At 48.2% G+C, this 25,027-nt stretch overlaps 1 long non-coding RNA gene across 7 annotated transcripts in view, besides 2 other annotated features; it reads left to right on the top strand.

Moving 5' to 3' along the window:
• The window catches only part of LOC105371742 (uncharacterized), a 163,994-nt gene that overhangs the window by 98,923 nt on the left and 40,044 nt on the right, over positions 1 to 25,027 (top strand). Inside the window, exons 4-5 of one of the 7 annotated variants that reach the window (XR_001752847.2) lie at positions 14,701 to 14,824; positions 16,495 to 24,974. The exons of 5 other annotated variants lie outside the window; for them this stretch is intronic. This is a non-coding gene — a long non-coding RNA (uncharacterized LOC105371742). Of the gene's footprint in view, positions 1 to 14,700; positions 15,204 to 16,494; positions 24,975 to 25,027 lie in introns of those variants that run through there. One more of the 7 variants, XR_001752846.1, reaches the window with a different exon arrangement.
• Positions 3,454 to 4,063: an enhancer, noted in NCBI's record as "NANOG-H3K27ac hESC enhancer chr17:33147431-33148040 (GRCh37/hg19 assembly coordinates)". NCBI's record gives its function as "activates a minimal SCP1, AML or CMV promoter by ChIP-STARR-seq in naive H9 embryonic stem cells {active_cell/tissue: H9 hESC(naive)}" and the evidence as "EXISTENCE:reporter gene assay evidence [ECO:0000049][PMID:30033119]".
• Positions 5,340 to 5,544: a silencer, noted in NCBI's record as "fragment chr17:33145950-33146154 (GRCh37/hg19 assembly coordinates)". NCBI's record gives its function as "represses an EF-1alpha promoter that drives an FKBP-Casp9 reporter gene in an ReSE screen in phorbol 12-myristate 13-acetate-treated (for megakaryocytic differentiation) K562 erythroleukemia cells {active_cell/tissue: K562(+PMA)}" and the evidence as "EXISTENCE:reporter gene assay evidence [ECO:0000049][PMID:32094911]".

The following is a 25,027-nucleotide window of genomic DNA, read 5'->3' as shown; positions in this document are numbered from 1 at the left end:
CAAGTGTTGGTGATCTTGGCTGGGGGTGACTTGGGCCACAGAATGGCAGAATTCTAGAACGCTGGAATGGGGGACCCCTGAAGGGAAGCCCTGAGTCTGGTACTAGACAAGACGGGGTTTGAGCCCTAACTCTGCCTCTTCCTGGCTGTGTGGTCAGGGTGCTGTACAGAATGGAGGCCACATTCCCACCTTCCACACAGCCTGTGGGGTAGGGGGTTAAATGGGACCACAGACAGGAATATGATTGAGAAGTGCTTGTTACACCTGAGATGCCATGCCAGAAGAGAAATCTGGAGCTCAGAGAGGAAAAGAATTGCTCAGGGCCACCCAGTAAATGAGTGGCGAAGCCAGAGCTCCAAGCTGAGCCACCTGATTCCCTTCCAAGGCTCCCGTCCCCTCCCCAAGCACCCAAGGGGGACAGGGCTATCCACTTGTATTTCATACTCCTCCCCAGTGTGGTCGTCTGGGAAAATTAGCTCCCTGCCTTCTGGAGCCATCTCTCACTTGTGTCTGAAGACCCAGTTACACAGGGATGGGAGAGCACAGAACAGAGATTTCTGCCAGTATCCCTACCTCCTGGCTGGAGGACAGAAGTGGCCTCTTTCTCAGAGAGAGTACTTTGTCTTCAACCACTAGATCTGGGTTCTAGTTCTGGCTCTGACACTTTCTAGTGGAGCGACCCTGGGCAATCACTTCTTCCTGGCCCTCAGAGTTTCCTCCTCTATGCAGATAAATGTTTTGTAAGTCTATGATTTGCGGAGTGACCATGCTGCATGTGACAGCATAAACGTGGGATTTGGGCCAGGAGAGCAACAATCAGCAGAGTATAGCACAGAGGTCAAGATGCAGGTGCTGGAGCCAGCATCCTGGAGCCGGCAGCTCTGTGACCCTGCACCCAACTCTGTGATCCTTCCCACCCCCGCACCTTAATTTCCTCACCAACAAATGGAGATCCAGCGAGATAATGCATCCCAAGTGCTATCAGAGTATGGAGCCATGACAAACATTCAAAGAATATCAGTCATTAGATGTGCTGAGAGCTATGGCATGCATGCATTTTATTTACCAAGACTCCTCAGCTGGTCAAATCATCCTGACAACCCTGAGAGGTGGTGGGGCAGAGACGTGACTATGTGCTCTCCAGACCCAGGTTCCTTTTTCTTCCAGACACACAGTGGACTACACTTGCCAGCCTCCCTGCAGCTCGGGCCATGTGACCTAGATCTGGCCAGTGAAAAATGGGCAGATGCAATGCACGCTGTGGCATGCAGGCTGGCCCCTCAGAGACCTCCTGTGTGAGGCTTGTGCACCCTTTCCTCCTTCCTCTGCTGACTAGCTGCAGAGGATCCCTCAAAGGATCTAGAGCAATGATTCTCAGCCGGGGGCGATTTTGCCTATGGGGCAACATTTGGCAACATCTAGAGACATTTTCGGTTGTCACAACTTGGGGGAGTGCTACTGGTGTCTAGTGGGTAGAGGCCAGGGATGCCACTAAGCATCCTACCATGCACAGGACAGCCCCCACAATAATTATCCAGCAGATGTCAACAGTACTGAGACTGAGAAACCTGGGTCTAGAGGTGGAGTTAGCCCTGCTGCCAACTCCATATTAGACTGTAAGAAGAAGAAATATGGTGTTATAATGTTAAACTACTGAGATTTTTAGGATTTTTTGTTGGAACAGTTGGCCTACCTTGACAAATGCAGGTTGCTATGATTATGTCCATTTAATTGACGGTAACTGAGATATAAAGTTACGGGACTTGTAAGTGACAAAAGGTGGGTTTGAACCACTTTTGTCTGGCTCTAAAGCCTGTGCTTGCCTTGGTATAGAGGTATAGTGCAGCCTCTTTTCAGCTCCTGATTCTGTCCCCTCTGTCTGCATCCCCTGGGGGATTTCACGTAGAGCAGCAGCAGAACCAATCACCAAGTTGCTGCCAGGGCTTCCCGGCGCAGGGTCCTCCTGCTATTGGGTGGAGTATACTCCCCAGAATAAGCTGGTTGTGTCCTTCACGGTCCCATCCCAGGCAGCTCATGTTGGTTATCTGTGACACCGGCTCCCTTAAAAAGGGTTGGCACATACTCCCTGTATGGGCCCACTGCCCCACTACAAGGAGCCCCCTTATCCACTCTGTCCTCCTCCCAAGCCAGCCCCCACCTGCTCCTGGTTTGAATTTCCAGGCAGGTGTCTGGAGGCGTCTTGGCTCCCAGTTAATTTCCTGATTTGGCTTCCTGAAAGGCAGGAGGGCTTGGAGGTGGCTGCCTGGAGCGATGAGGAGATAGTGATGTCTGCTCTGGCTTCCTGCCTGTCTGTGGGGACACCCTGCCCATCAGCCTACAGAGGGCCCCTCCCTGGCAGTCCATGCAGAGGGATTTGAGGGTGGGGACTGGCAAGCCGAGCTGCAGGTGGGCTGCAGAGCCTCATCCAGGAAAAACATGGATGTTCAAGCTTTTGAGTGTGTGTGTGCCTGCGAATATGTGTGGTGCCTACACACTGAGAGTAGATGCCCAAGATTGTAGGAGCCTCCAACATGTCATTTGGCTCAATCCTCTGTGTCCACACAAGTTAGCACCTTTCCAGAGGATTTTGATCTTTTGAAAAAGTACCAAGAGTAAAAGATCTCTTTTACTTAGGTAACTTTCAAGGGTGAACTCAAGCCTGTACCAGTTCTTTGACACGCAGGTAATCCTTCCTTGAAACTGCTCCAAGTTTCTCTTGCTGGTCTGAGTCCATTGCCTCTATTTTGTGGAACTAGGTGACACTTTTTTTTTTGCCTCCCTGATGTAAACCCTTCAAGCACCTGCAAACAGAAATTGAGTGCTTCCCTGAAAATACTTCCCAGATTCTCTTTTGCAGACCAAGCAATTCCACCTACCCAGCCTTTCTTCATGGAGGATGATGGCTGGGGACATGTACAGTAGGCAAAGTGTGCTTGCAAGGTGCCTCTTCTCTCCTTTTTGGAGGTTTCTCTCTCTCTTTAAAAGTCCTCATGGCTGCAGAAAAAGCACAGTTTTTGGGGGCCTAGCAGGCGTGGGCTTCAATCTCAGCCAGGTTATTTAACTGCTCTGAGCAGGGCTCAGTTCTGGCACTTTGCTCAGAGCAAGCCACAGAGCAGATGCTCAATCAATGTTTATTTCTCCCCACTGCCTTCCTTCAGGTGCCCGTGCACTCCCCACCCTTCCTACTTTGTCTCTGGCTGCTGCTGTCTGAGAAACGACCAGAGGCACTCATGACCCACACCAAACCTGGTTAGCTGGGTGGCACTGGCACATGCCATGTGCGTAGGAACAGGAAGCAGGCCCCAGACACAGGGAAGGGAGAGGGCTTTCCTTGTTGTCTCTGCTCATGGAGTCCACTCTCCACCCCTCTGGCTGCTGAGTCATTCTCTCAGCACCTTCTCTCTGTGTCTGTGTTATTCTATCAGCCCCAATGCCTCTGTCTGTTGAAGCACTGACCGGTTTTGCCAGGTGTGATATAGGGTCCCTTCATTCCCCTACAGCAGGATGTCCCAGGTTTCTTAGAATCCTAGAGTGCTGGAGCCATTTTCTAGATGGGGAAACAGAGGCCCAGAATGGGGTCCTGATCTACCCGAGGCCTCCAATCAAGTGGGGGTGAGATCCCAGGTATCTTGACTACAGGCCCAGTTTTATCTCTGTCAGAAGTGGAGCTTTGTTGTGAATCTGACTCCCTAGGAGGGTCAGACCTTTCAAATGCTGTGATGCAAAGCTCTCTGAACACAGCAGGGGCACAAGAGGGGTCTGTCTAAAGAGTTGCCTCTCTCTTTTTCAGGAGCAGGAGGAAGATGGTCTGGGCTGCGCTGAGCATAGGAGGCTTTGGGGGGATCGCAGCTCATTTTCCTGAAGACTGGTGTAGCATTAAGTTCTTATGTCCGCCAGCAGCCTTTCAAATTGGCTACTGCCACCCCTGTCTGTGTGTTACATAAATCCTCACAGCGATCTGCAGAGACAAGAAGCAATTAGGCGAGTGAGGTAGGGAGAGAGCGAGAGAGTGAGAGAGCGAGAGGGCGAGAGAGAGAGAGTGCACACAGAGATACACACATAGATTCAGATAGAGACAGAAAGAGAAAGTGAGAGACAGAGACAGAGAGGGAGAGAGATGGTAGGACTCAGACAGAAGAAACATAATCACACAGAGACAGACAGTGAGGCAGAGAGATGAAGTCAAAAGAGAAACTGAGAAGAGGGAGAAGACAAAGAAGACAAACAGCAAATCCGAGGCAGAAAGGGACACACAGAGATATACAGAGTGAGGCAGAGAGAGAGGAAAGCAGGAACAGAGACACTCAGAGACAGAGGAGGGAGAATTGTGGACACACACACAGACACAAAGGGAGGCTCAGTTAGACAGACATAACAATTGACTTAAAAAGAGATGCAGCCAGGCGCAGTGGATCACACCTGTAATCCCAGCACTTTGGGAGGCTGAGGTGGGCGGATCACCTGAGGTCAGGAGTTCGAGACCAGCCTGGCCAACATGGTGAAACCCCGTCTCTACTAAAATGCAAAAATTAGCTGGGTGTGGTGGTGGATGCCTGTAATCCTAGCTACTTGGGAGGCTGAGGCAGGAGAATCACTTGAGCCCAGAAGGCAGAGGTTGCAGTGAGCCGAGATTGCACCACTGCACTCCAGCCTGGGTAACAGAGCCAGACTCCATCTAAAAAAAAAAAAAAAAAAAGTAGACAGAGAGAAACGCAAAGACACAAAGCAAGAAAGCAAGCAAAGGGATCCAGAGAAGATGTGTTTTCCTTTAGCAAAATTTAGAGATTAAAGGGGACTAGAAAAATAATTGTGTAGAAGTTTATGTTTTCATACACACTTGAGCTTTGCCAAAACACTGTGGGGTAGAATGCACAGTGACTATTATCACCTACATTTTAAAGGCAGGAAAGTGGAAGGTCAGTGAGATACAGTAAAATCCAGAGCCCGCTGAGCCAGCCAAAGGCAGGATGGTGTTTGCACCCGGACTGGCCTCACTAGCAAGGTTGACGTTGCTCTGTGCATCTTAATGGCACTGAGCACCTTCATTGAGTGGCCCCAGGAGCCAGGGACATGCTAAGATGCTCTGGATTCTGTGTCTAGTATATCTTCTCATGCTGGGGTGGCGGTGGAGGTCACTCGGGAAGTACAGCAAATTTGTGATTTATGCCAGCCCGGTATAAATCTTGCCCCTGGTTGGAAACTTGCCTCCTCCACTCTGTGAGTCAGAATGCTCACTGCAGTTAGTTTTGAGCATTGAATGCTCAGAATTAACTGTGTGCTTCTTGTTCACCTAAAACCCTGACCACAAATGGATACCTACTCTTTTTTTTTTTTGCAAGAGTCTTGCTCTGCTGCCCAGGCTGGAGTGCAGTGGTGCAATCTTGGCTCACTGCAACTTCCACCTCCTGGGCTCAAGTGATTCTCCCACCTCAGCCCCCCAGTAGCTGGGACTACAGGTGCCTGCCACCACACCTGGCTAATTTTTGTATTTTTTGTAGAAATAGGGTTTTACCATGTTTCCCAGGCTGGTCTTGAAATCCTGGGCTCAAGTAATCTTCCTGTCTTGGCCTCCCAAAACGCTGGGATTACAGGTGTGAGCTACTGTGCCCGGCTGACACCTGCTCTTATATGAAATGAGATGCCCAGTGCTTCTGATAGCAACTAGGGACTTTAAGAAGAAGACACTTCCTCTCTCCGTCCCTCCCTTTCTCTCTCCCTCTTATTCATTTTTCAAATGTTCAATATGTGTCAGGCAACCGCACTAAGTATTGAGGAATATGACAGTGAACCAAATGGATAAAAATCTCTGCTCTCAAGGACTTTTCATTTTAGAGGGCAGAGACAAAAAACTAAATAAATAAGATATACAGCATTATTAATGAGGATGAGTGTTGTTGAGAAAGAAGTAAAGTACAGAAAGGGGTTGGGGTATCTGCAGTGCAATTTGAAGATGACAGCTGGGGAAGGCCTTACCTAGCAGATGACGTCTGAGTAAAGAACTGAAGGCGGGGAGGAAGCCATATGAGTATCTGTACATGTGCAAAGTCCCTGAGGCAGGAGCAGGCCTGCAGGAGTGAGGGACAGCAGAGAGGCTGGTGTGGCTAGGGGAGAAAGGATGCAGGGGAGAGTGGGAGGTGACAGGGACAGAGAGACAAGAAGCACAGCAGGCAAGGCCCTGTGGACCATTGCTCTGACTCTGGCTTTTACCCTGAGTGAGACCGCTGTGGGGGTTTGGAGCAGAGCAGTGCCATGACCTTACATCTTAACACCATGGCTCTGATGGCTGGGTGGAGCCTAGTGTGAAGGGGGCAAGAACCGGAGCAGGGAGATGCATTTTTCAACATTAGTGAGGTTCCATGAGGTGGCAAGATGAAAAAGCTCAGTACCTGCTCTGGCATAGAGTTGTATTTAGTAGGAGGTAAGGGGGTCATGGGGATGGGTGACCTTCACTGCCACACTGTACGCCCCAGAGGGAAGAAAGGGCTGAACTTGCAAGGCAAGCTTCTGAGCTAGACATAGGAGGGAGGGCAAGGAAAGCAATTTTGTTAAATACATATTAGGTGCTGAGCACTGTTCATACCAATACAATTTAATTTAAATCATCACACCAGCTTAGAAGGCATTTTCCCCTTTTTATAGACAAGGCCCCCGAGACTCACAGTAGTTAATTAAGGAGCTTGACTGAGCTTATGCAGAAAGTGGGAGCTTTGGTGTCCAAACAGACGCTGCCTGCTTGTGCAACCCCCATGTGCGCTTCTGGGCCTGATGTCTCCCCAGGTACCCTCTCCTTATTCCCGCATCTAGGAAATTCCAGGGCCTGTTGGTTCCTCCTAAGGATATAGCATCTTGGTTCCCTCCATTCCTCTTTGTTCCCTCCACCACCACCACCAGGGTCTGAGCTGGCATTGTCTCTCTCCAGGACTGTTCTCATGGCTTCCTTTTCTGTGTTTTTGTTTTTCTTTTGTTTTCTGAGACAGGGTCTTGCTCTCTTGTCCAGGCTGGAGGGCAATGGCGTGAACATGGCTCATGGCAGCCTCCACCCCGCTGGTCTCAAGGTGAGAGAATCTCACCTCAGCCTCCTGGGTTACTGAGACTACAGGCACGCACCACCATGCCCAGCAAATTGTTTTAATTTTTTTTTTTGTAGAGACAGGGTCTTGCCATGTTGTTCAGGCTGGTCTGAAACTCCTGGCTTCAAGCAATCCTCCCACCTTGGCTTTCCAAAGTGCTGGGATTATAGGCACGAGCCACCGAGCCAGCCCTCTCACGGCCTCCTAACAGGTCTGCTGTGTCTGCGTTCTTCAGGCTGCAGCTAGAGTGGGCTATTAAAGATGCAAATCTTCTCCAGTTTCTCCCTGTTTGAAACCCTTCAGTCACTTCCAGCCACTCTCAGGATAAAATTCAAAACCCTTACTACCACATTCAAGGACCTGCACCAGCAGGCAGAGGCCTGACCCTTTGGCCCCATCTGCAGAGTCCCCACCCTGGGGGCTCTCTTTAGTGCTTGAGAAAATGAGTCAAGCCATTTCCTGCCTCAAGGCTTTGAATAAGCTATTTCTTCCGCCTGGAACACTCCTCTGCAATCCTCTTTCTGGAGCAAGCCCACTCACCTTTCAGGTTTCAGATACCAAGTTGCTTTCTCAGGGGCCTCCCCTGATCACTGGAGAAGTCAGTGTCCCGAGCACATGCCTTTTCTAGCACTCAGGATTTTACTTCAACGTTCATCATGGGGCAAAGACAGGAAGCAGGGAAGGAATGAAAGATGCCAGTGGATGGGGAATAGAATGTGAGGCATCAGGCCATGCAAGGGTCAGCAATAAGCCACCACTACACCTACAGGGAATACTGGCTCCAAGGACAAGTGGACCCGTCCAGGGCCATGTGCGTAGTGAGCTGCAGGCAGCGCCTGCACCCTGTCCTTCTGACCTTAAGATAGTTACAATTCCTTGATGTCTCTTGTCCACTTCTCATCTTCCTCCCCTACATTCACCAGAGAGAGGGCCGGGGAGAAAACTAGGGACGTGAGACCCTGAGAAATGAGCCGTTTGTTCCCAAGAACTCAGTGAGGGTGGAACTTGGTCAGAAACACCAGCACCCATTTCCCACCTGGACCCACTCCCGCCAAGCCACCAACCGGTTCCCATAGGTGGGGCAGGGATCCCTCGTTGCCCTCGTCACTTGCACCCTTCCCAGCAGCTGGAGAGATAGACAGACCTACCCAGCCCGGCCCTCTACCCCTGCTGTTGCAGTGGGGTGGGGAGGGGGCTGGAGCCTGCTGTCCCCTCCCTCGTTTCACTCTTCGCTCACTGTTTCATCAGAGCCCCACTGCTCCCAGCTCTCTAGCGCTAGACACATTTTAAGCAGAGGGCTGGGGGGCCAAGGCTGGGGAGAAAATGGTGTTGGTGGTGAGTGATCATGACAGCGAGTGACTCCAGAAGCAGTCAGGGATGCCTCACTTTCCCTCTGGGGAATCTCACCTTCAAAACAGCCTTGGAAATGGAATGCATTGGCTTAAGAGAAATCAGACCTCAGGTCGAATGAAATCAGGAAGCAAGCTCAAAAGAAGCAAAATTCCCTTTTCTTCTGTTCTATTCTCCTGTGTTCAGTACCCACAGGGCTCTGAATTTTGCAGATGCCTGCCTACTCTCGCTTAATCCTAGAAAGTGAGAGGAGCCTTGGGGACCAGGACAGGGAGACAATGATTGCAGGTAATGAGGAAGGTCACTGGTGGTGAAACACAGTTTTTCCTGTCCTGGTCTCTGGGACTTTGATTTTATCCTGACTTTGTTGGGAGCAGATCTGGTCTGACATTAGGCTTGTTATTTGTCTGTCTTCATCGTCTAGCCTCCTGTGACAATTCCCATTGGTGCTGGCTTCTTGCACAAGGCATGAGGGTGGTGCACTGTAAAGGACACAGACTGGGAGCTGGGAGCCTGGACTGAAAAGCTATGTGATCTGAGGCCTCACCTCTCCTCTTCAGTCCCCATTTATGACTAGAGGTCATCAGGGCCCCTGGGTGGATGGCAGCAGGTCAGTGTGGCCAATGCATGTGGCCAGGCCCTCTGGGAGGTAACGGATTCAGCGGGGATGAGGCCTTGGCTGACACCGGACCCTGCAGGTCTAGGCTTCTTGCACTGGAAACTCCAGACTGGCCTTCTCTCACCTGGCTCCTTCCCCACACCTTGGCATCCTCATTGGGGTCCTGACCCCAATCTGCTTCTGATATACTGATGGGAATTTCCCTCCAACGTAGCAGTGACCTCCATGAATCTCAGCTCCTCCAGGGTGCAGGACACTTTATTTAGCAGACACAGGGCTGCGGATCCCTGTCTCTTTCTTCCTGACACCCTGGCCAGAGATAATTGTGGGACCAGATGGAAATGTAGGGTTTGCGGAAGGATGCTTCTCTTTTAGATCTGGGCCTGTCTCTGTGGTGGTGGTGGGGATGGGCTCCCCCAGGGGAATGTGGGCTTGCAGGGATGAAGTCTCTGTTTATCCATCCTGGGGTTGGTGTTAGGAACAAGCACCAGGGAGTAGAAGACAGGATGCAGCTCTGGCTTAGGTTCTAACTTACTCTGAACATCTCTTCCTCTCTGTGGGCCTCAGTCTCCTTATCTGTAAAATGAGACCATGGGACCATGGCAAATAATGGTTCATAGGCTCCTGCATCAGAACCATCTGGCTGCTTGTTTAAAATGTCGAGGACCAGTGCCCTTTACAGACCTTTGGAATCAGAGCTCCTGGAGAAGCGCCTGGGTATCTACTTTTTTTTTTGAGACGGAGTCTTGCTCTGTCGCCCAGACTGGAGTGCAGTGGTGTGATCTCGGCTCACTGCAACTTCCGCCTCCTGGGTTCATGCCATTCTCCTGCCTCAGCCTCCTGAGTAGCTGGGACTACAGGTGCCTGTCACCACACCTGGCTAATTTTTTTGTATTTTTAGTAGAGATGAGGTTTCACCATGTTAGCCAGGATAATCTCTATCTCTTGACCTTGTGATCCGCCCGCCTCGGCCTCCCAAAGTGCTGGGATTACAGGCGTGAGCTACCGCGCCTGGCTGGAATCTACATTTTCAAAAATCACACCGGATGTTCTGATGCATGTGAAGTTTGAGTTGACTATGGCCTGAGCAGATGATCCTTAAGCACCCACTGGCATGAGTGCCATCCCAGCTGGACTCTTCATGCTTGGCATGTGATTGGGTGTTAGGTGCTGTGTGCCAATGTCACATGTCATGTGAAGTCCTAGAAGACAATTGGGGGAGTTCTAACCCAGAGAAGAGACTATGAAGAAGGGAACAGTCATCATCTTCAGGGGATGCCATGGGGAGAGATTGGGCTTCTTCTGTGTGATCCTGGAGTTGGATCTAGGGCTCTGGGTGAATGTTGCAGGAAGGAAGTGCTTCTAACAATCAGAGCTCCACAGGGTGTCTTCCATGGTAGTGAATGCCCCATCAGTGTAGGAGTGTGGGCAGATGTTGTGTGCTCTCCTGGGGAAAATGTTGTAGAAGAGATTCTAGCTGCAGGTGGGGAGACACTGGGTTTGAAGATATTTATGAAGGTGGCTTCTAAGTCAGAGCTGCTAGGATTCTATAAAAATCAAGGAGTTTTACTTGCCCAGGGTTTAAAGCAATGTGTGTACACCCACGCACACTCCTACTCACACATGTACAAAGAGACATTCATGTGTACAAACCTTCAGACACGTGTGTACATGCACATGTTTACCTACATGCTACAGAGCATGTTTTCATATATAAGGGCACACACACACAAGCACAAATACAGGCATCAACAAACATGCACATACCTGCCAGTTCACACAGCACACATCTGCCTCAGCCTCTTTTCTCTGGCTGTTTATTTTCCCCCACTCCAGAGCCAGGGCCTCCCCGTGCAGCTTCCAGGCTGGTCTCTGGAGTCAGAGCCTTGCTTAATCTCCATTAGCTCTCTTATTTCCTGCACCAAATTAAAAGTGTGACCAAAAGTTAATTATTCTAATTCAATTTAGCCCTAATGTTCTGTACGTGGCGATGGGGAGGCCTGCGTGGAGGTGAAGCTGGCATAGGCAGGGGGAGGAAGCGTCAGAATTTAATATGTCTTAATGACTCTTACAGGAAAATGCCCTGAAGCCTTCTTCTCTGTGGATTTTCCCTGCCACTTCCCCAGGCCCAGCCCCCAGATTTTCTGGAAACCTCGGGGTGCTTTTGGGAGCTTAGCTTTGGGAAATATTTGAGGAGATAGCAGGCCTCTCTCTGGAGGCCAGGACAGAGGTGAAAAGGTTTGTGTGTGTGCGTTCGTGTGTGTTCGTGCATGTGCACAGGTGCCTATGTTGATAGAACACAGACCAGACTGTCATGTCAGAAGGCCTCCAGAGAGATGAGCCAAGGCCTCTCTTGCTGAGCCTTCATCCTTGGATAATGCTGAGAGAACTGAAGATCACTGCTTTTGCCGGACATGGGAACAGCCAGCCCTCCTCTCCTCCACCACAAATTATTTTTCAGATCAATCCCCTCCCTCTGCCTCTCTGCTACTTAGACTTCTCCGTGTATTCTTGCTCAGGAATGTAGGATCTGGGGACTCAAATCCAGCTTTCCCCAGTAGCCATGTCTTCCCTAAACACTAAGCCTGGCCCCCACATTTGAACATGGGGCTCTTAACGGGTGCTGAGGCCAGGGGCAGCTAGGGCAGATTCTGAAAAAAAGTTAGTCCTGTCTCTACAAAAGATACAAAAAAATAAGCTGGACATCATAATGTGTGCCTGTAGTCCCAGCTTCTTGGGAGGCTGAGGTGGCAGGATGGCTTGAGCCCGGGAAGCAGAAGTTGCAATGAGCCAAGATGGTGCCACCACACTCCAGCCTGGGAGACAGAGCCAGATCCTGTCTCAAGAAAAGAAAAAAAAAAAAAAAAAAAAGAAGGAAAGGAAAAGAAAAGAAAAGAAAAAGAGTTAGCATTCTTGTCCTGAGGGTTTTTGGTCTCCTGAGAGTGTCGAGCCCAGGCCTAGGGAGATCTTAGACTGATGGAGGAGGCAGCATCCTAGTTGGGGATGACAGATCATAAGATCACAGAATCTAAGGTCTTGAGAATGTTTTTGCGTTATGTCACTGATGTCAAGCTGCTAGCTGATGCTCATGTGGCTTCTGCAACATTCTCACCTGTTTGCACAGCCAGGAGTAGAAGCTTGCTGTCTCTTAAGGTCACCTGTTGTGCCTCTGTTAACATTACCTTCCTGTGTGTGGAGCTGTAATCTGCATCCCTGGGAATTTCCTGCCACTGGTCCTAGAGCTGCTGTCTCATGTCACTTGGGTCAACTCTGCTCTAAGATGATGGATAAAGTATTTAAGGACAGTGTACAATGTTCTCTGCTGAACCTCCTCCTCTACAGGGCAACAGTTCCTCAGCTGTTTGTCATGTGGTGAGGTTGTGAGCTAACCTGTATTAGTTGGGATAAGCCAACTGCTGTAAGAAAGACCCTGTCTGCAAATCTCAGTGGTTTAATTACCAGTAGTTGATGTGTCACTCACGTATTTGTCCAGTGCAGGTATTCAGTGGGCAACCTTCTGTGCAGTAATCCCACATCCCTGTTTCCTTCCATCTTGGAGCTCTTTCCTCTCCATTTAGACAGTGCATGGGGAAGAGAGAACCTGAAGGCTGCCTGGGAGGTTTTTATGGGTTGTGTCTGGAAGGGACGCACGTCATACTTGCCCACATTCCTTTGGCCAGCGCTCAGTCACATGGCTGCCCTACCTGCAAGAGAGGCTGCAAATAGAGTCTGGTGGTGTGCCCAAGAGGAAATGGGACACGGTTTGGGGAATAGCCAGTCTACTGTTCCATCCTTAGGTCATCCTTCTCCAAAATGCTGCAGCTTGTTCATATCCCATTTAAGGGAGATGCTCAGACATTTGAAAAAATAGGGGGCTAGGTATGGCCTGATCAGGTACTAATAGGAGCTCACCATTTCCTGAGCATATAGTATGTTCTAAGGAGCGATGTGCTGGGGCCGGCTCACACCAGCTCCTGAAAGCCAATTTGGCACATCTCTTCCCTGCTCCCATTTCAGGGACATCATATTTGTATCTTGAAACAAGTCTTGAGGGGAGTGTTGAAATCAAGGAAATGGACACATGCTGCAAGCCAGGGCTCCTCCCCAGCCCCTCAAGCTTGTGTCAGCACCCAACCCCCTGGCTTTACCTGTTGTTTTGCAGGAGCCTCACAAGACTCTTATGAAGCAGGCTCTGCCATTTCTATTTTATGGTTTAAAAAACTAAGGTCACAGGATTTGCCCAGCCAGTGCAGAAAGGGGCCAGACCCTGCTTCCCTGTTCTGGATGCATCCATCTCTTAGTTATTTCCTTCGGATGGCTGTCAGGATGGGAAGAGCTGAGCCCCGACCTCAGCTGCTGGTCTTATGCAGGGTGCCATGTCTCCTCCTCTGCATTGTCACCTCCTTGTGGCCAGGACCAGGTCTCAGTCTTTGTTCAGGGAAGTATCCAGCACATCAGCACACAGTAGGAGTTAAGCAAATACCTGTTTAACCAAATCTAGTAGGCCTTGTTCTGGGGAAGCCTCCAGCCGGTGAGGGAGAATAGACCTTTTCCCGACAGAACTCCCAATCTGATGGGGGAGGAAGTGCCCTGTTGTGTGGGTGCTCCAGCCCGAAAAAGGGATAAAGGCCTCCACTCACAGAAGCCCCAATCTGAAGACATGAGGAGTCTTGGCCTGGGTCCTACGGGGGCTTGCAGTTATTTGCAGAGCCATCGTTCTTTTCCATCAGGAACTCCTAATCAAACGGAGAAGGATTTAGATCCAACCTCCCTCATCAGAGTGTATTGGTGGCTATGGATGAAGTTTGGCTGGGAATCAGGGGAGAGAGGAGGATTAATCTGTAGGGAGTGTGGGTGGTATCCTCTACCCCTATGGCCAAGAGCTACTCGAGTCTATATGCCCCAGCACGATGTCTTCCCTTCCAAGAGCTCAGGGACGTGAGTGCAGGTCAAGGGAAGTGAATGCTCCACAAAGAAAGGCCTGATGCCTCTCTTCTGTCCCCTGCAGTTTGAGCCTTCATTCTTACCTTCTCATGAGAACATGCCGTAGATACAGGGCTGGGCAGTGGTTAGGAACAGGGGCTGAGTGCTGGGCCAAAGAGAGGGGATGTGTCTCCAGATGCAGCCCACTGGCCTCCCTGTGTTCCTGCATAGGAAGTGCTGGGGTCTAATTATTAGGAGCACTGATCTGTAGCGTGCATTAGGAGGAAACAAAGGGAAGTTATATTTTGTTCTTAATCCAATTAGGGAAAAATACCAGGTATGGTAGGTTTGTCTGTTACTTACTGGCTCAGCCAGCCATTCACCTGGGCATTCTGGCTTACTGCCTCCAGAAAGGCACAAGGAGTAAGTTAGCAGCCTGAGTGGCTGAAGGGTGAACCAGGAGGAAGGATGAGTGTGCATGGTAAGGGCAGGGGGTCATCTCCAGGATGAATGGGAAGTTGCCTGGACTTCACCTTTAGGCGACCCCAACACTGACCTTCTCACTAGACAGTAGGCATCTAGATACTAACCAACAGGATAGAGTTTGGTATAGGAAACTTCAGGGTTTCTCTATACCCTTGAAGGTTGGGCTGGATTTATATTTTCTGATAATCCTTTCTCCTCTTCCACTTCCTCTTCTCTCTCTCTTTTCTTTTCTTTCTCTTCTTCATACTTTAGGATTTATGAGGATGGTGAAGAGTGGAGAGGGGTTCCCAGCAAAGGATTTAGCATGAGTAAAATCAAGGAGGGATAGAAGAACCATCCTGAGCTAGAGGAGGTTTGAGAAGGAGAATACTGAGAGGTGAGACTGGACCAAATGTAAATGACCTTGAATGTCAGCCTGAGAGGTCTTTGAAGTCAGGGGCTGTGACTGATTCATTGTTGCATCTCCCGTACCTACCACCATCTAGCACATAGTAAGTGTTCAGTGAATATTTGCTGAGAAAATGAATGACACTATCCTGCAGACAGCGTGGAGCCTGAACCTCACCCAACAGAGGGGGTTGAGGGGGAGGGTGGCATGATCCAGACACTTACTAAGTACAGGTACACCCCAGGGCACAGGTTCTACAATGGAAAAGGCACTGGTATGGGGTTATAGCCCTGGAGAAGCTCGCTGTCTGTTTTAGTGTGTTCTCACACTGTTATAAATAAATACCTGAGACTGGGTAATTTATAAAGAAAAGAGGTTTAATTGGCTCATGGTTCTGCAGGCCCTACAGGAAGCGTTGTGGCTTCTGCTTCTGGAAAGGCCTTAGGAAGCTTCCAATCATGGCAGAAGGCAAAGAGGAAGCAAGGCATCCAACATGGCTGGAGCAGGTTGTTAAAAAGTGCTATACATGGCTGGGCGCGGTGGCTCACGCCTGTAATCCCAGCACTTTGGGAGGCCGAGGCGGGCAGATCACAAGGTCAGGAGATCGAGACCATCCTGGCTAACATGGTGAAACCCCATCTCTATTAAAAATACAAAAAAAAAATTAGCCGGGCGTGGTGGCGCATGCCTGTAGTCCCAGCTACTTGGGAGGCTGAGGCAGGAGAATGGCATGAACCTGGGAGGCAGAGCTTGCAGTGAGCAGAGATTGTGCCACGGCATTCCAGTCTGGACAACAGAGTGAGACTCTGTCTCAAAAAAAAAAAAAAAAAAAGCTATACATTTTTTTTTAAATTTTTTGAAATGAAGTTTTGCTCTCGTTGCTCAAGCTGGAGTGTAATGACATGATCTCGGCTCACTGCAACCTCCACCTCCTGGGTTCAAGCTATTCTCCTGCCTCAGCCTCCCTAGTAGCTGGGATTACAGGTGCGCGCCACCACGCTCGGCTAATTTTTGTATTTTTAGCAGAGACAGGGTTTTACCATGTAGGCCAGGCTGATCTTGAACTCCTGACCTCAGATAATCCGCCCTCCTTGGCCTCCCAAAGTGCTGGGATTATAGGCATGAGCCACTGTGCCTGGCCAAAATTACTATACACTTCTAAACAACCAGATCTCATGAGAACGCACTACTGCGACAACAGGACCAAGAAGGATGGTGCTAAACAAGTCATAAGAAACTGCCCCCATGATCCAATCTCTTCCCACCAGCCCCCCCTCCAACATTGGGAACTGAACATGAGATTTGTGTGGGGACACAGATCCAAACCATACTGCTGTCCAATTAGAAGGATAATCCATTCATGCATGAAGGATCGTAAGGCAACGTGTGTGAGAAATAGCACAGACTTGCTGAGGAGCTTCAAAGTAAGAAACACATAGTTGTGGGGATAATTAGGGAAAGGTTCTTGGAGAAAACTGGGCTTTGATTTGAATTGGTGGAGGGGAGGTGGGAGGGCATTTCCAGTAGGAGGAACAGTAGGAGCAAAGGCAGGGGGCAATAGGTGTTTGTTGGGAGGGGGCAGTGAAGAGGCTGCTCCATTTTAATCAGCTCCTAGAACTGGAAAGACTGTTTTTGGTTTGTTTATTTGTTTTTTTCAGATCAGCAAACTGAGGCTCAGAAAGTGGAAATAGGAAGCACAGCAAATGCTAAGAGGATCAGAACCTTATGGATCCCAATCCAGTGCTCTTTCCTCTACACCACACCACTGGCTACCCTTTCAGACAGAGCACAGAGCAGACATTTAACCAACTTAGTCACAATATGTCAAGGGAGGAGAAAGAAGCCCACATTGTGTGCCCTTTCTAGGCATTTGCATTATTCTAAATGTCTTGCACCTTTAATATGTTTCCATTTGCAGACACTAGAAAAGTCCTGGGCACCCTGTGGGGTGATGAGGGAAGATGACGTGCATGTGTGTGTGTGTGTGTGTGTGTGTGATGGAGACATGGCTTGGGTGGGTGCAGAGTTCCAACTCAGTTTTCCCTATGGGAAGCCTGGGTGCCTATCTCCTTGGCTTTTACCTTGACCAGGGAGGGTAAGCAGTTTCTGTTCAGGGCAGACTCACTGGATCTCACTTTGGGATTTGGGGACTTGGACTGGAGTTCTTTATTTGAACTGTTACTCTTTTCTTCTTTTGTGGTCAAAATCCTCCCCATAATGATGGCTTTGGGGAGAGTTTTTGCTTTTCCTTCGACTAACTCTCTGTTGTCTCAGACTTTGCAGTGTGCACATCAAGTTTCTCGGGGCCAATCCTGGCTTTGTTTCTGGGACCTCTGCTGTTTAAAAAGAAAAAGAACAAAGTTGTTCTTGTCCTTCCAGAGAGCGAGTACAATTTGCCAGGACCTCGGAAAGATAGTGCTATGTAGGAATAGACTATGAAGACTGCTAAATTGCCCTGATAGTGTAAGAAAAATATCAGAGTCAGGCCCCAGAGGTTGACCCTGCCATCAACTCTCTGTGTGACCCTTTCTCTGAGCCTCAGTTTCTTCCCTGGGAATATGGGGAGTTGAGCATGTTTTCTTTAAAGTGTTTTAATTTTAGCCATCTAAAATCCCATATTTCTTTATTATGCGATTTCTCCCTTGGTCCGATGTATTTATTGAAAACTCCTTTTGTACAAAACGCTCTGCAACCCCCTCTTCCTTACCTCCTCATATGGAATGTTCTAAAGCATAGTCGCAAAGTAATGTATCTCATTACACATCTCATTACATAAGCAATGAGAGGGAATTTTAGCATTAGCATCATGGCTAAGGGCATGGGCTCTGGGGCGGACCTCTCTGATTAGAATCCTGGCTTCACCACATATTAGCTGTATGACCTTGAGCTAGTTACATAATCTGCCTGGATCTAAGTTTCCTCAACTGTGAACCTGGGGATACTAATAGTACTTATCTTACTGGGTGGAGAGTAAATGAGGTTATCTGGTAAATTGCTTAGCACCAGTATCGGCACATAAGAAAGCACTCAGTAAATGTTAGCAATGATTGCAATCAGAATTTCTGTTTTGTTATATATCTTATCACTCTCCTGACTGAAATTCCTCATCCCCATCCCCTCTGTTGCCCATGCCTATGGTACAAGCCACTTAGTGTGGCTCACAATGTTCCCTCTGACATGGACCCTGCCCACATCTTGAGTTTCCAATCCATTCTTTTGCCATAAAAACAAACAAACAAAAAAAGCCAAAAAACTGTGAAAACTCTCACTCCAACAGTACCCAACAGCTAACAATTCTCTTAAATTATGACACGGATTCCTCCTTAAATGTCCTTGTATAGGTGAGTACCTTTGCCCAGGAATGTCTGCCCTCATCTTAGCTTCAAAGCCTGGTCCAGATGCGCCGTCATCTGTGATGACTTCTGTAACCCTGCAGGTTGTTCCAAGGACAACCACTTTCCTTGGAAAAATGAAGCACCCAGAGCACACTATCATTGGATGGATCCCATGGTGCTGACAATATTTGTTTACTAATCAAACTTCTTTGCTGTGAGCTACCTGTGGTTGCTTATTGCTCATTTTCATTTTTATTCTTGGTGTCTAACACAGCTCCTGAGTTAACTCTGCTCCCATCAAGCCATCTCTGTCACACACAGAGCATAGGGTTGGTTCTCAGTGAAATTTGCTGAGTTCTACATGAAACAAGAAAAATAGATGTTGGGCATATCAAGAGCATAGAATAAATCAAGTGGTTTTGGGGTGGGGATGCAGGAATAATCCAAGAAGATTCACCAAAGAGGTAAATCTAGAAGTGTGTTTGGAAGCTAGTTCAGGGTCTCCTGCATGGGAGCAGGGGCCTTTGTGGGGCTCATACCAGGTATCTCAGTCCCTACTTGGAAACAAGGAACAAGTATATGTTCACCTAACCAAAAAACCCAATCTAGGTCCCACCACTATCCCTTTGCTCATGTCTGGAACCGGGGAAACCCTAGGGCTCCTTATCTCTAACCCCCTCATACTCTCTCACAAGCACCAAGCCATAGATTTAACCTCCAAAATATCCCTCCAATCCACCCACTTTGCTCAATTTTCACTGCCACCATCCCAGTCCAAGCTACAATTACCCTTTGCCTAGATTCTTTACCTGTAATAACTTTCTAACTGATGTGTTGGTATTCACTCTAGAGCCCTGTGTCAGTTAGAATTAGGTTAAACTATGAGTAACAGAGACCCAAAATTACATGAAAAGTCTGCAGGTGAGAAGTTCAGGGCTGGCATGGTGGATTTGCTCCATGGTGTTGTCAGGCACTGCAACCCCTTTTTATTTTAATGCCCTGACTTTTTTATCTTGTCACCTCATGGACCAAGATGGCTGCTCCAGCTCTAGCTATTATATCCCCAGTCCACACAGCAGGAAGGAGGACACTCCCATTAAGGATACTTCTTGGATAGCACCCACTACTTTCATTCACATCCCACTGGCCCAAACTGAACATTGTGGCCACTCCTAGATGTAAGAGAGACTTGGGCTGGAGTCCTGTGCCCATTGAAAGATGAGAGGCACTGATGAAGACAGGGAGTGTTGATACTGGGTGACAATTAGTGGTTTGTATAATAAAGCTCTACAAAAAGTTCATTGTCATTTCACTCTCCAGATTAAAACACTTCAATGGCTCTCAAATTCTTTCAGAGTGAAATTCAAACTCTTAATATGGCCTACTAGATTCTTTATGATCCTCTTTTGCCTCAAGTCCCTAACCCCCAGCCCCTATGCTGTAACCATCTTCTCTCTCACTTTTTTTTTTTTTTTTTGCATGTGCTATTGCTGCTGTCAGAAACATTATTTGCAGCACTTTTGTTTTTTTTTTTTTTTTTGCTTCATGGCATACCCTTTCAGCCCATCTGATTTCAGCACAGCTATTGCGGACACTTCCAGGCATTCCCGTCTGAAACACAGGCTACATTGTCTTTCTGTTTTTCTGATGGAGGGCTTTCTCCAAAGTGGTGGAAAGTTGCTGAGCAGGATAGTTTACATCCTCAGGGGAACTAATGGGGGATAGTAGTTAGTGAGCAAGTGTTTCTGTCCTCTGTTCCTGGAGAAACAATTTTAAGGTGTGTTCTACGTAGTTCTTCAGAGGATCTGCAGCAGGACTGAGCTCCAGTAGCCCACAGTGTAACCAGACCAACCATATACATTTTATTGGTCTTTCTCCTTCCTTGTCTTGCTGTCCTTACTCCCTTACTCCAGTTTCCTAGCATCATCTCCCAAGTCAACTACCTGCATCTCTGACCTTGTTTCAGGTTCTGCTTTTAGGGAGAGATCAACTATGACAGCTGATACTAGAAGTCACCCTAAAAAGCTCCTCTTCAGTATGGGATTCTGGAACTGGATCATTAACCAGTCAGATGGCAATAAGGACTCCTTTGCAGGCATCCAGTGTGGTGTGTGGAAACTTTTAATTTACTGAGCATCTAAATTCTTGAGATTTTCACTTGGTGGACTGGGTGTGGTACAGGACCAGCAATGCTAAAAACCAAGGCCAGGAGTGAATGATAAGGAAGGCAAAGCTGCAAAGAGGGTTTAACATGCAGCTTTAACAGGTCTTTTAGGCTCAAGTCAGATCCCTGTTAGAGAAGGAGTGGGACTGTGAGATATGAGCTGGGGATATTTGGGTGGATACATCTGAGAACATTGAACTTCCAGCTTCCCCTGAACCCTCCTGGCTGACAATAGCAGCCTCTTCCCCCTTGTTAGAGTAGATCAGCCTCTCCTTGCCTCTCTTATGCAGAAACCTCTCTTGTGGTAGATGCCTTGCAAGATGATACTTGTCCAGCTTCAAGATCTGCCCCTACCTATATCTAGATTAATAACTTGGGTCAGGCCACATGCAGTGGCTCATGCCTGTAATCCCAGCACTTTGGGAGGCCAAGGTGGGTAGATCATCTGAGGTCAGGAGTTCGAGACCAGCCTGGCCAATATGGTGAAACCCTGTCTCTACTAAAAATACAAAAAAAAATTAGCCGGGCATTGTGGTGGGCGCCTGTAATCCCAGCTACTCAGGAGGCTGAGGCAGGAGAATTGCTTGAACCCAGGAGGCGGAGGTTGCAGTGAGCCAAGATCGTGCCATTGCACTCCAGCCTGGGTGACAAGAGCAAAACTTCATCTCAAAAAAACAAAACAAAACAAAACAAAACAAAAAAGAACTCAGGTCAGGTCTTAGCATAGCTCAAGAGAGGGAGTATAATCCCTGTTAAGGGAGGAAATAGCTTATTCACTGAAAGAGTTGCAGGAGGACCTGGCTACTGCATGGCAGCTGAAACTGGGAAATATGTATAAGAATGGAATTCGAGAAGTTGGACTTGGGTGGGGTGGAATATAGACTGGAAATAAGACATTTATTGACATGGGGACACTCTTCCAAGACAGGATTTAATGTTTTGGCAGGGAATCCTGGAGCCTTCTTATGCTGCTTGGACAGCTCCTTGGAAATGTCAGAACTGTTAGAGAAGTGAGTGTATTAGAATGGATTTTATTACACAAAACCAGAAAACCTATCATGTAAATCTATGTACCCAGAGAAGGGCAATAGGACACTCTCACCATTAGAATGATAAGCAATGCACTAGTGAGGGAGGCTCCAGCCTCAATGAGTGGCTTGGTGGTGGCTGTCCTCTGTAGGCTGGAGCAGACAGGAGATGAAGCCATGGGGTTGAGTTCTCTGTGTCAATGGAGAAGAGAAGAACCTGGACTAGTAGAGGTCTGGTGTTGGCATTAACAATCAGAGGCAAAGTGGACATAATTACTGTAGTAGGAAGCAAGGCCAGAGTGGCCACCAGTGTGCCTTAACATACAAGGAGCTCTGGTCCTGAAAAACACACCATGGTGTTCCCAGGGTCTAGATAATAGGTGGCCAACGAGGGTATTCCATGACTTGCATAACCACAAGAAAATTAAAACAAAACAAACTGATTATCTAATGGCTGATATCAGCCACTGCAATAGAAAATCATGATTCCTCGTCCTCTGTCCAGATCTGAGCTAGTTCTCAGACCCAGAGCCCATCCACTGATGGAAAACCAGGTCCTCTTGAGGAAGAACCTGAAATGTTACCAAAGTGTATACAATAAATATTCCCTTTCTTATTCAACAAAGGGACCCTTGGCCATTTGCCAAAGACAGGGGATCACCCAGACCTTTTGAGCACTGTTGAATACAAGGTCTGACTATCACTGATGCTAGGGGACCTGGCCTGTGATGCCATCAAAGTTCCCCAGTGAAATTGGGAGTTTGTGAAGGCAATGTGGTAGAGTTCTACCCTACATTCACTTTCCAGTACCTCTAATAGTCCCTGGACTATTCTTCCCTAACCCTTGTATGCATTATTGAGATGGATATATTTAGATGTTGGCAGACCCTCACATTGGTGCTCTCACCTGTGGAGTAAGAGTTTTTATGGTAAGAAGAGCTAAATGGAATCTCTTGAAACTGCTCCCCTCTCCAGCCAAAATAGAAAGTCAAAAGCTATCCAGGTGAAATTGCAGAGATTAGAGCCACCCTGAAAGATGTAAAAGATGCAGGGTGGTTGTCTCCATCATATCTCTACTCAATTCGCTTTTTTGGCCTTTACCCTCATCCGATTTGATTTGTTGTTCCTGTTTGCAGTGCCTCTGCTAGTATGACTATCTGAGATCTCAAAACGTGACTGATTTATCTGCATCGGATCCCACAAAAACATAATCTCAGACCAAGAGATTTATTTCATGGTGCAGGAGGTCAACATAGTCATGAGACATGTAATTCACTGGTCCTATTATACACCAGACCACTTAGAAGCAGGTGGCCTGATAGAATACTGGAATAGCCTATTAAAGGCTTGGAGAAGACACCAGTTTGTGGAAAATACCTTGCAGGGTTGTGGTACTGACCTCCAGGATGTGGTATGCATTGAACCAATGGTTCATGCATGGTGCTGTGTCCCCCGAGAGCTAGAATATACATCTGGGAAACAAGGGTTGGAAGCAAGTTGGGTCCATCTATCATCACTTCCAATAACCTTCAAGAAGAAGATGTGCTTTCTGTCTCCCCAACTCTAGGCTCTGGTGGAGGCCAGGTTCCGGTTCTACAGGGAGACACAGTAGAGTTCTACTGTGACTGACCCTGAGTGATCCCTGGTCACTTTGAATCCTTCATGTCAGTGGACTAGCAAAAAGAAGGTCGGAGTAATTGACCACGATTTTCACAAAGAGCTGGGGTTGCTGCTACCTAACCAGGATGGGGAAGACTCTGTCTGGAACTCAGGGGGTTCACTGGCGCATCTCTTAATGTTTCCATACCTGATGATAATAGTGAATAGGTAATTGCAGCAAAAACAGCCTAATGGGACTGAGGCAACCAGGGGCTCACCCCCCTTACCTGTCTCATGGATGTTGGTCTGGGTACCTCACTGAGCAAGTGACCCAGGCTGGCAGAATCAGGTAGGCTGAGGGTAAAGGAAATATAGAGTAAGTGGTAAAGGGCATGGGGGATGGATATCTCTCAGGACCTGCTGTAGCTGTTGGAACTGTACCCTGACACATTAACCTTCCTGTCTGAAGAACGTTTTAGAAAATAGAGATTAAGGCCTGCCTTTTCTTGAAAATTCAGCAACAAGGTGAACTTATTTTGGGTCACAGGCAGATCTGAGCTCTACAAGGGGTGGACTGTAGCAGACACTTTGTGTGCCCCACACCACATTCCCTTCATTGATCTGATTTCAGTGCAACTGTGGTAGACAATTCTGGGCATGCTGCCAGCATCTTATCCCAAGCATGCAAAGTGGTATCTCTCTGCTTTTCAGACTCAGGGCTTTCTCAGAAGTCTGAGAAGGCTGCTCAGCCTGTACAAGCATAATGAAAGTGCAGGGAAATGAATACCACTGGGGCTAACCCTCAAACAATGGGGACAGGAGTCAGAGGATAATGTCCTATCCTCCTTCCTTAAGGGATAATTCTGTGGCATATTCAATGTGGTTATGCAGAGGGTCTGGAGTTTTCTACAGAAGTAACTCACTTAATCTATCTTTACTGATTTCTCTTTTTCCCTGTCTCACTCCCCATTTGACTCCCTCCCTCTGGTTTCTTGGGATTATCTCCCAAGTAAATTATCTGCCCCGAAGCCCTTGTTTCAGGCTCCTTTTTAAAGGGGAACCCAAACTAAGATACTTGTTTTCTTCTTTGAGCTTATATAATTCCTATTCAGATCTTCTTCTATGCCTCTTCCTCCCGAATTCTTCCCTGACCACTGGGCCTGGGAGAGAGACCCCTCTTTATTATGACTGTGCTCCCAGTGCCTAGTAGGGTGACAGGTGAATAAAATTCTCTCTGAAAATATTTGTTGAACAAATAGCTTTCCCAGTGGACTCTTCCCAGCAAGAGAGGAGTCACGGATGACAATTGTAAGTGTTGCCACCCTCCGACATGATGCCGCAATACCCGAATACGCCAATGCCAGCTCCCTGTGTGGGGACAGAAGTCCATTATCTGGTCTTATCAGACTCTAATACACCTCAGCGAGGGGCCTTGGTAACTAGGCTGGATAAGTGCTGCACAGACACCATCTCCCTCCCTCGTCTTCCTCTGCTCCCCCTCCCCGCCACATTAAGTGAGTAAGTAATGAGAATGGCTAGAAATTGAATTTTATGAAAAAGTAATCTGCGGCTTAGAGAACAAGCAGGAGGAAGGGGGAGAGATTTGATGAGATGGGGGAGATGATTTCAGGGCCATCAGGGAGAATGAAGGAACATGGGAGCCGACAGGAGAGTCAGGTAGGAGAGTCATTCAATTAGGGAAGCTGAGACGGTGGGGGGACTTGGTCCCCTTCTTCTGCTCTGTCCTTTTTTACCTCTATCCTTTTCATCTCATCTATGGGTATTTTGTCTTCATGCTCATGGGGTGGAGAGGAGGGAGACCAAGACAGAGATGGCAGCAGCAGGGAGCAGAAGACGTTCTGACCACGGAATACATTACTCTGCCTGCAGTTCAGAGAACACTGATGACTGGAATGAACAAGGAAGGAAGGCATGGGGCTGGAGGAGGTGCAGGGATAGATGAAGACACAGAGTGCTAGCATGGCCGCCACCTACCCCATCCCTCTCCACTAGTCCTGGGCCAGCCACAATGGGTGAGCCCTGCTGTTGGGCAAGTTGTGGTCAA

This window comes from Homo sapiens, chromosome 17 (genome assembly GCF_000001405.40).
Source record: "Homo sapiens chromosome 17, GRCh38.p14 Primary Assembly".
Classification (NCBI taxonomy): domain Eukaryota; kingdom Metazoa; phylum Chordata; class Mammalia; order Primates; family Hominidae; genus Homo; species Homo sapiens.
This window is presented reverse-complemented; position numbering and strand designations above follow the sequence as displayed.